This window comes from Homo sapiens, chromosome 5, assembly GCF_000001405.40.
Source record: "Homo sapiens chromosome 5, GRCh38.p14 Primary Assembly".
Lineage (NCBI taxonomy): Eukaryota > Metazoa > Chordata > Mammalia > Primates > Hominidae > Homo > Homo sapiens.
In genome coordinates, this window is record NC_000005.10 from 92,879,248 (window position 1) to 92,891,121 (window position 11,874).

At 36.7% G+C, this 11,874-nt stretch overlaps 1 pseudogene, besides 1 other annotated feature; it reads right to left on the minus strand.

Annotated features, from left to right (window-relative positions):
* Positions 4,894-6,179: an enhancer, noted in NCBI's record as "VISTA enhancer hs1153". NCBI's record gives its function as "enhancer in: branchial arch[3/10] | eye[7/10]" and the evidence as "EXISTENCE:transgenic organism evidence [ECO:0001131][PMID:17130149]".
* Positions 10,125-11,663, minus strand: CCT7P2 (chaperonin containing TCP1 subunit 7 pseudogene 2; annotated as a pseudogene).

Here is an 11,874-nt window from a genome sequence, read left to right on the forward strand (position 1 = left end):
CTAATCACCTGATTATATCTGACATCAGAAGGCTGGCGACAATGAACTTTCTTCATGCCCACCGTGGTAAGATGTAGAAACTTGGGGCTCTGTGAAGTTGTGTCTCTTACCCAGCCCAGTGGAACTCAGAATAGAATCTTTGTCCTACTACAGATGGTCAACAGACTGGAGTGTGCCAGTAATCTGAGAAGAGGCCAAACTTATTTTAATTACAAATTACTCCATCACTCCACATTTATCTCTCTGTACCTGTAGTAAATGCAACAGACAAGTTAATATACATTATTTAAATAGCCATCAAAACCTTTCCTGCTTCAGCACTCTCCACCTTTCTCTGGAAACCCTGTAGGTTTGTAGGGATTTATAACTGCAAGTGCCTGAAGTCAAGTTTCAGTTCTAGCAAATGTGGGGTAGAACAAGCTGATCAGACATTGGAACAACAAAGACAGGAGGATTAAGGCAGTCTGCAAGGATGAAAGTATAAAGAGATCTTGGGGGAAAATAGCTTGAGAAGAGCCTTTTAAAAATCAAACAGAAAAACTCTCATCAGTTGGTTCTTATTTCTTTTTTAAAAATGTAGCAACATGTGCAAGGAGTTTTATATATCAAGTTATATCTCTCATTCTTAAAAAAAGAATTAAAAGGCAAGCAGTTTAATAACCCTTCAGCATTTTCCCCAAAGTTATTTAGCATTCTTGTCATTAGAAAAACAATAATTTCAGAACATTTTCCAGGAAAAATACACAGAACTGGAAGGAAATGCATGTGCCCATGTGGAAATACTTAAGTTCTTCTCCCATATTGAACCTGTCTGCGCATTCATAGAGAACTTATGACATATTTCCTTGTTATGTATACACTTTTTTTGTTCAACAATGCCAAAAAGTGATAACTTGGAGACTGAGAATTAGACTGACAGTCACCTGTCATTCATTGTCCTTTATTCTGACAACTTCAGGCATTCAGGCATGGATTTATGGGTATTTCGCCCCTTTCTCTTTATTTTTAAAGGGGTTGGGGGATGGGGGAGAATATCACAGGATTCAGTTCTGAATAGACTTTTGTTTTGCTCTTTCTTTTACCTCTTGACTGTGTCAAATGCAGTGTGTCTCCCATGCAGTTTCTCTCTTTAGAGAGCCTTGGCTTGGCCAGCTAGTTAGTATTCAGAGACAAGGCAAAGAGGATAAAATTCTTCTCTCTGCTTGCTGAGACTGCAAATAAGCAATTAGACTAAAAGCAATGTATTGGAGAAAGAAGGACATTGCAGATATCATTGTTGACTGGAACCTGCCAATAGAACTTTAAAATTATAAAAACTTCATAGCAGGGAGAAATAGTCACTTAGAGGCATGTAAGTTGGTTAAGACACTAAGTCAGTATTTGCTACAGACATTTCTTCAGTGTAATGTATTCTGTGAACTGTAAAATTTTCCATTTAATCCTGTTTCCTTATTATACTGAGAAACAAATGGGGGAAATTAGCAATGGTGATAGAAAATTCAACCTTTTTATTGTATAGCATGTTATGAAAACATTTTCTAGATTGGCATGTTACTCCCATTTTCATTTGAGCTCACTTTAAAGGATTGTAATGGAAGGCTGAAGGTTACAAACTGTTTTATGTCTGACCAAGCAATATCATGTAGCTCTGCTGCATAGTTCTATGAAAGGTTTAAAACAATATATGCCAGCCATTTTCTGGTTATCAGTGATGGTATGTGAGCTAGTTCTTAAAACTCTTCTTATTCCCTTCTTTAATATAGGTATTCTATGCTGGGTTCTAGTGATTGATGCACTTCCCTTGCAATGCACAAATGCATTACTCTGTTAGTAAAACTGGGATTACCTAATTCCATTATGTAATAGATAGGTTAGTCTCATGTATGCCTTCAAGATTGCCCAATTGATGGGAAGAGGCATGTAGACCTTCTTGATTAGATATCCATTCCTTTTCCTCTTCCCACCCCCATCCTTCAAAACCACGTTTCCCAAAAGTTGAGAAATGCTAGCCTGATGAATTTATTTTTACACATTCTAAGCCAGGAAAAAGAAAGGAATCTGGATTATTGACATTCTTTACCGGAACTACAGTAGACTAGAGTTAGCAGAAAAAACTGCTAATCATCACAGTTTTCGTGTTGGAAGCAATTTGCCTATAATTAGTAAGTTGATAAATACCAACAAAATGGGTGCTAAAACGAACAACTCTTGTGCTGAGAGACATTTGACTCTACATTACACTTTGCATTTTTATATATGCAGCATTACATTTTGTTACAAAGAGCGACAACTTTAGTGGCAGCTGAAGCACTCTAATCTGTCTTCTGAAGAAAAGCAGACATACATCTTAATATAACAACTTCTTTTATAAAACGTATCTGTTTTTTCAAGGAATAAGCAATGCATGGATAAGAAAAGAAGTTGGTCTTTTATTTATTTTATATAAAATGGTAACAGATGATGGAGGGCTTGTTTTGCTAGATAAGAAAATGCTATCGCACATAAGATTAAATGGTACCAGTGACTTAGGGTATATTCTTCATTGGTAATACCAAATTCACATTTGTTTGCAGATATTTGTGTTCTGCATTTCATATAAAACAGCTATTTTACTAAATGTCTATCTCCATATAAAATCAAACCCATGACCATTTTTGTTTAAGTCAAACAAGGAAATGCATCTGGTGTGCTAAAAAGTGAGACAAACATTTTATTCAAACAAACAAGATATAATATATTTTATCTTTGAAACCAAACATATTTAAATATATGAAATGTTTTAATAAATGCTAGCTTTTGTAAGGGTCTAAATCATAATAGATGCTTTGTACATAATAAATAAAAGAATATGATGGCTTTATCAGTGGTATACTGAAATTCTTGTTCTTTCATAGCTAGCAGAAAACATAATTTCACAGCAAATTCAATCTGTACAATCTGATAGAACAAAAGAGGTTATCCCAAGATAGAAATAGTGAGGGTAAAAAGAAACTTCTTTGTGTGAATGTGGTAGAAAAGACTACATCTTTCTAGTGCTTTTTAAATGGTAACTAGTATTTATAGTCAATTTCAGGAGCATCCTTATCTACAGCCCCTTTATTGGTAACTTGATTAGCAGATGTGGGTATCAGAGAACTTGCAGTGTCGTTATACTACAGACCACGTGGTGAATGGATTGATTACCTCTTATCAAGTAACTTCTAATATAATTTTTGATACCTTTGATTTATTTTTTTCTTTCCCATTAAACAGTACTTCTTTGGTATTCCCAAATACTGGATCAGACAGTAAGAAATGTCCACAGGAAAGTAAATACATGTTTTTCTTCCCCTCTTCAGAATATTCTACAGTGGGTGGTAAAATAATTAAGCCATTTCAAAGTCATGTAAAGTATCCCAGATATGTCAGAGGAAGAAGAGGCTGCAATTTATTATTTTTCTGCAATAAATCAACATGAAAGAGAACATTTTAAAGGACCAAGTAGCTTTGTTTTCATTTACAGTTCATATCAATAATTTTATACCATGAGCACTTTGCCTGTTTGAGATGTGTCTTCCATCAGGAACAGCTTGATTATTATGAAATAAAAAAGCAAACATTTTGAGGAAGCATATGTTGCAGTTATTTGTGAAGTATGTGTTTCATCTCATTTATCATTATTATTATTATTACTATTCATCCTAGTTGAAACTTGGGCTTCAATTCATGGGGTATATATGCTTTTAATGATGATTTATGTATAAGATTGAATCAAAATTCATTTTGTACATGTAAATTCTTCACAGTTTAGTATTGTACTAACAAAACAAAGTATTTTCATATCTTCGGAAAAGCTTTTCCAAGATCGAGAATAATACATTTACAGACAGTCTGAGATTAAAGAGGGAAGCTATGCAGCTTGACCTGGTCAATTTTGCTGTCATTTTTCTTGGCCAGTATTATTTAATTTATTTCTTTCAACATATAACTCCATTTAAGAGATCCCAACATTTTGCAAGTGTCATATAACCTATCTCCTTGGAATATTTCTTTCTTTCTAAAACAAAGTTGTATATAGTGAGCTGCAAGAGCCTTTCTTTGTGCTTGGTTTCTTCCCAACCATTTTCCATTCAAAAACAATGCTGACATATGCATGAAATGACAAATAGCATTAGTGTAATAAAGGAGATACACCAAACCTAAAGCACAGTCATACATTAAATTGCTTCTAAAAATACTGACCTAAGCACCTCTATGAGTTGTTATAAGTAAAATTTGAAGGAAAAAAAAAAGACATTTGGAAGTGAGATGTGCTCTCCTTTGTAGCCTACATAATTGCTGGCTTGCCATCATATTTGCTTGAGATGCCTTTGTCAGATATTATTTCATGTCTCTTTGTCAAAAGGGGAGGTTTTGAAGCCTTTTTTCTCCATCTGGAAGACTGCTGTCAGGGCTCAGACCAAGCCTCCCAGGGCTAGAGCACTGTGTCCAAAAAGCTTTTGGTAAAAAGCCTTTAAGCAGTGCAGCCCCTCATTTCCACTCACCAGATCAACACATATGTTTTATCAAAAGAAAAATTCTAACATTTCAACATAAGTTTCAAACACCAGAACTGTAACTTAGTGACAATTTTTCATTAAGACCTAGTGTTGAATAACTCTTAGCATACAGAATTACCCATGCCGAATGTAATCTAATACAACAGTTATGTCATCTTCCTTGTTAAGTGGTGATTTTCTAGAATTTGATGATTTACAAGGCTATTCTAAAAATGGTTGACATCTCTAAGTAGATGGTTTTCCAACACACAGTAATACTCTATAGGATAAGATGGAGTTAAAAACAAATTCATTTTTCATTCATTTACTTCTTCCAGAGAAATTCAGTATAAAGATCATGGTAAAGCTTATCATATCAGCAATCAAAAACAGGAAAAGAAAGTAATTGTAGGACATACAATAACAGAACTATTTTCTGCACAGATCCAACTATGTGGAGAACTGTTCAATTAGGACCCACAGTTACTTTTAATGACAGTTGTTGTGGAATAAGTGGAAACATCTGTTACCACGAACCACCACAGTGGCTACACATGAAAAAACAGTTCTCTGTTCTATTGATTGGGACTGGTCTTTGTGGAATATTCTTATTAGTATGCTTAGAACAACCATGCAGATCTCTAAGCCAAATTAATTATTCTTGGCATTCCCAAGAAATGATCCTACAGTCATTTTTTAACCAAAGGCAGGGAGCAGGGGAACCCTTCTCTGTGCATATTTTATGATGGTTCCTCATGCCTAATTGTCCTACTGTATGTTGCCCTATTTTACCAGCTACAGTCTGAATTCATTCCCATCCTCTCCTTAAAAGTTTGAAACCCCCTAGTGACAGGAATATTAATGTGCCAACACTGTCATATCTATTTCAGCTCATACATATGCAATGTCTTTGTTTTCAAAGATTTATGTCAGACTTTGCTGAAGTGAGGTATTCTACCATTTTAGATAATAGCATGCCAAAGTGATGTTATCAGCCACATTCAGCACTCACTCAAGCAAACGGGAGGAGCATCCTTCCTTCATGGCTTAAACTCATAGAAACTGTTATTTATCCTTTTTGATGAGAAAATCTTTCAGGGGGAAATGGTGTATTTTTAGAAGAAGATTATGGCCATCCTGTGGATTATCTTTTAATTAAGAATGGATGATTTGTGCCCACTCTGCTGTAGCAAACGTCTTGCTGCTAACGAAGTTTAAAAAGACTTACTTTATTTAATTACAGCTAATCACCAGGGTAAAATGTGGAATTTTCTTTGATCCTACAAGTAGTGTGGTAATCCCCATGGCAGATAGCATCTCCTCAAAATGTTTTGAGTTTTTCAGCCGGTCACAACTTGGCAAAAGGTGGAACAACCTTACTCTAAAGAATTTCTTTCACTCCCTCTGTAGTTGCCTACCCTGGCATAAAAAATACATGAAATTTTCTTACAAGCTGAGATGGTCCCTGAGACAGAAAGCATTGAAATATTCAAATATTTGAATATTTTACTTTGTTCAGCATTCAGAACAGGGTTCTTTACTCTTGTTCAATGATTCAATTTAACCAACATTATTGGACACTCTCAATGTGCCAAATGCTGTTCCAGGCACTAGGAATGGAGAGGTGAAGAGAATGTATTGAGCCCACTATTAAACAACCTTTAAGATGAACTGTGTTTACTTTCTACTGTATTTAGTCCATGTGGACATAAATAGATGAGTGTGCTTTAAAACCAAAAATTGTTTTTGTCATTGGTTTGGTTTGTTTTTAAATCATCGGTTTGGAATTACTTACTCAAGCCTTGTAACATCAAGCAGGACTATCTTTTTTATTGTGTATCTCTTCTGTCTCTTTCCTTTGGAAAGTACAATATGTTAACTCCCATTTTCTGGCCTTATTCTTTCCTGAATCTCAAAGAAAATTATTTTGAGAATACATATTAAGCCACTCTTCATTCTAGGTGATATCTTTCTATGAGTTTTCATCCTTATAAACATACAGACTTAATCATTTTCACCAAAAGTGGAGTGTCATTCTTTGTCACGCTTTCTAATATTTATTCTTTCCAATGTAAATTACATGTTTTTCCCTGAAGTAAAAGCCCATCGCCAAAATTGATTTGTGGGTTTTAGTGTGTTTTATGTTTTTAATCTCAAAGAGGTCATCTTGTTCTTTTTAAAAAAGTACCTCCCTTCTTCTTTTTTTGTTTTTATTCTGTAGTCTTCAGTCCATGTGACCCAGCTGATATTGACTGGTTCTGAATAAAGGCCCTGAAGGGCAAGGTCGTGCAGGCTCCTTGGGAGAGAACAGAACTGCAGATAGAGAGCAGAGGGGACAGAGGCCAGCAGAGACCTGTGTCGGACAGAAGAGGGCACCAGCAAACTGACCTACTCACCCCAGCTGCTGACCCCCACTTCGACCTGGGATCAAACCAGCAGCTGAGCACAATAGATAGGCTGGGTTCTTTTTGGAAAACAAAATTTTCCTGGAACATGAGTATGTCTAAACTAACTAATCAAAATGAAAGAAATATATGTCTTAGTATACCTTTTCATGATTTGATAATTGGCCGTTTTCAAGAACATAATGAAAACTCAGCTGTCCCACTAAAATAATTATCACCAAGGAGGGGCAGTTACCGAAAGATAAACAATTCCTTTGAAAACTAAATAAATTATCTATCAAACTGTTACTCTATCTATAACTTTAAAAGAAAAAAGTCATCTGGGCAGAATTATTGGCTTCACATCTTCAAATGTGTTCTACTTTGTTTAACAAATTGAAGTTTCAATGAGTTCTTTTGGTTTGCCAGGATTGAAGCAGATTTAAAGTAGGTTTGTTGTCAAATCAGCGTATGGGTCTCTATCTCACACCTAGGCTTCCATTATCACACAATGATGAGCACTCTCTTCCCACCACCTCCATATAAACGCTTAAACACATCCCTTCCCTGCATACTTCCCACTGCCCACACCCGTGTAGTAATTTATATGCCACTTTCCCCAGAACTCCCTCCATTCTAGTAGGAAGCATTTAGACTTACAAAGTGATTGAGGTGGAGGAAGTTCTTCCAAAGTGCAATTCATGTGTCTTTAAAAAAAAAAAAATTAAACACTATAAAGTAGGAGAAGCAAAACAGAATTTGCGGTTAGTTCCTGTAATATGTTAAACATCTGCAGTTTTGTCTCTTCATCGGGATGCGGGGTTGTGCTGTAGTCACATCCTGATAACATCTGCACATTACTGATAGCTTTTGCTTTATTCTTTATGGTCTGCTGATGAGAGATTCTTTAACATTCCTTCAGTCATCAAGACCCCAGTTGGATTTCTTTGCTTGTGACAGCCTTAAAGGTGGTTTCATTTACATTTGCTAAAATGTCACAATATAGGAAGATATTTTCAGTTTGATGTTTCATCCCTTCCTTTTTTTATCCGGATGCTAGTTTTAGCTTTTCAAATGAATGTCGAACTCAAAATAGATTTTCCATGAAATATATTTTGTCTGATTTTTGGAACACCATGTCTGCAGCAGAAGACTTTTTTTTTTTTTCCAAAAAAGTTTTCAATAAGGAATGGCACCTCTCTACTCCTGCTTGCATTGCAACAACAGCTACCATGCCATGAAAGGGCTAGCTTGTTTAACATCCAGTAACACAGAATGTACGACTAGTTTAAAGGTCAGGTACTGACAGGATGGGAGCTGTTTTTGCTTCCCTAATGACCCCAATTACATCAGAGCTGAGCAAATAGTCAATAAACAGTGGCACTAACATATGTAGAAAAATTGTTTATTTCACATTTCCAAGACAATTAGCAATCCCGTCTCTGGTTCCAGAAAGACTTTGAGATCCTAGAGGTTTTAAATAAATGAGACCATGAAAAGTAATATAGAATATTCATGTAAATAATCTTGGGCTATATGAAAGCATTATTTATATTGCTGAATACATTTTTCTTGATGTAGCAAGCGAGTGGTCAATGGCAATACATAAGACAACTGTAAAGAGCTCTATAAACAATAAATTTTAAAAAGATTAATTGGTTTTGAGAGTTAATTTTCTTGAACAATTTAGTGGAGATTTTTCGTTACCCACTTGGGATTCATAGAGTTGAATAAGAGCTTTCACTGACATTCATTTTTAAAGATGAGATGAGAAAACATTTTTTTTCCATTTTATAATATTTGGAGATTTTTATATATTGTATTGATTTCTAATGTAATTCTATTGCAGGAGAATACTCAATAAGATTTCCTTTTTTAAAAAATTTGTTGAGACTTCTTTTGGTCTATCCTGTTGCCTATATTGGTGAATTTCTCATGTAAACCTGAAAAGAACGTGTATTTTGCAGTGTTGGGTGAAATGTTCTGTAAATGTTATTTAGGCCAGATATGTTGACAGTACTGTTCAAATTTTCTATCTCTTTATCAATATTCTTTGTGTGGATAGTCCATCAAGTACTAATAGTAGTGTTAAAAATGCCCAACTGTGATTACTGATTTGAGAATATCTTGTTTTGCTTCACAGATTTTGAAACTTTTTTTATTAGGCACATACACATTTAAGATACGTCTTCCTGATGAATTGACCCTTTTATCATTATGAAGTGTCCTCTTTATTTCTGGCAATTTTCCTTGTCTGGAGGTCTACTTCGTCTGATATTAATATAACCACACCAGCTAGGAAACACAGATTTTTTTTCAAGTGTCTGGCTACATTTGTGGGTCAAATATTTAAGAAAGAGTGCATCAGCTTACCTGACAGCTTGCATTCCCATAAATATCAACCACAAGAGAGAGTTTATCGTTTCTCATGGGTAAGCCATAGCCTTCTGAGACAGGGGCAATGAAGGAAAGAGAAATTAAATGAAATGGAAAAAATGAGTTAGAATGTGACACAAAATAAATCAGAATATAATTTTTATTACTTAGAAAATTCAGATCTGTAATTTTTAGAAGTATTTTAATATTTACTGAAAATTTCTACTTCACTATCAGCTGTAGGGGATTGAACAGTATCCTCCAAAAATTTATATCCACCCAGAACCTCTGAGTGTGACCTTATTTGGAAATACGGTTTTATAGATATAATTAAGTTAAAATGAGAACATACTGGATTAGGGTGAACCTAAGTCCAATGACTAGTATCCTTATAAGACAGACACACAGAGACATGCACAGAAAAGAAAGCCATCTGAAGATGGAGGCAGAGATCACAGCGATGAAGCTACAACCCAAGGAACATCAGAAACTCAGAGAGTGGCAAGAAAGAATTCTTCTCTAGAGCATTTAGATGGAGCATGGCTCTGTCAACACCTTGATTTTTGAACATCTAACCTCCCAAGCTGTGAGAGAATAAATGTCTGTTGTTATAACCCACCTAGTTTGTCATATTTTTTGTGGCAGCCCTATGAGTGCCCTGAAAACTATCAGTTATCTCAATTAACAAAATTCTATTGTATTAGTCAGCTTGAACTGTCATAACAAAATACTACAGACTGGATGGCTTAAACAATGGGAATTTTTCTCTCACAGTTCTGGAGGCTGGGAAGTCCAAAATCAAGGTGCAAGACAATTCATTTCTCTGATGACGGTGTTCTTCCTGGCACATAGCTGGCTCCCACACAAAGGCCTCAGAGTTGTCAGCAATATCCTCATCATTGATGTCCATGCCATACCATGTGCCTCTCTGGGCATGCTATGCCCACAGCTTGTTGAGAATGTTTGTGGTATCAAAGCCAGTATTGTCACTTAGCTGCCATGGGATAATCTCCAAAGCCTTAGCATACCCCCCACTCTAGCTGCTGTGTTCCTGGAATAGTCCTTGCTAATCCCATAGGTACTTGGAGAGCTTTATCTCAATAGCCCCACCACCAGCCACCACCAAATCATTTTCAATGGCCCTCCTGACAATCATGATGGAATTAGGCATGAACTGTTCTGTCTCCTCCATAAGTTGTGGCATCACTGTGGAGGATAAAGGTGCATGTGTTGTCCTTGGGAGGCCAGTAAAGAAATTGTGCCTCTCACTTCCAGTCAGGGTCTCCTCAAACACCTGGCAGCTGCCCAGCATGTCATGTCTGCTGACAGAGCATTCACAATGGTCTGGATTAACCCTCTGTAGACCATCATTGTCCTACTCAGATCCTTCTCAGGTACTCAGCCAGCACCGAACCTGCCCCTGTCAGCAAAGTACTGAGTGACCACATCCCCATTGGAGAGTTTGGACAAGACAACTTTGGCTCCAGAATGATGGATCCTTGCTAACTTGTCATAGAGAATGTTCCACTCAGCATCAACAATTGCCTGGTAATTCCCCATTGTGAGGACTCTGATCTCAGCCTTATCTTTCCTAACTTTCAACTCAAGCTCAAAATTTAAAAGTGCAATCTTGGGATTATAGCACTTTTGGGGTTGCATTTCCAACACCAGCATAAAAGAAATTCTTGAATGAAACACCAGGTAACAGATGGGAATCCTCTAGGGCTCCACCCTGTATCTTCTTGATTCCAATCATTTTAAGCTGCAGCAAACCATCAAGCATCATCACTGCATCAACCACCATCTTTGCAAAGAAGGCTTTCTGCTGGGAGATGAGCTTGGAGCTCAGAGCAGGATGGCACACTTCTCCAAGCAGCTTCTTCTGCTCCACTTTTTCTGTCTTCTTCATGGTCACAGTGATCTCTTTGTTATCATTAACTGCCAATTGGATGGCTGTGCGTAAAGCTTGAATGATGATCTTCAGGTGCAAACCTTCCTCCACATAAGGTTTCACCTGCTTCAGAAACTCTGCAGCCAGTAAGGTCACTGAGGTGGTGCTATCACCCACCTTGGCATCTTGGTATTTGGCAATGTCCATTGAAGTCTTTGCTGCAGGATGGACAAATTGAAGAAGCTTCAAGAAGATTGTTGCTTGCCTCTGCCATCCATAATAAGCATGTCTGTGCCATGAGAACCCAGGGTGGTTCTTCTACCCTCAGCAATCACCTGTTAGGCACTGATGTTACTCACAAGCTGGGGGATGCCTTGAGGACTATCAGTTCCCTCTTCCAACAGGATAACTGGTGTGGACATCATTTAAGAAGCTTATTTAGTGGCCAGCTGCTTGTCCTCTCTTCTCTGTGTCCTGGCTACCCAACAATCCACAGTGCCCTGCACCCACATGCACTTTTTGTTACAGCGCTTATCAAATAAAGTTTTCACTGCAGTTTTGAGTATGTGTCTGTGTTAGGTGCAGTCCACATGGCTTTTATCTTGTAAGCAATTGGATTAACTACTGGATTTTGCTATCATGTGAATATTTGAGATTATACCAGAAGTTGCCAACTGCTATGACTCAATTTTGAGGTATTTGGAAT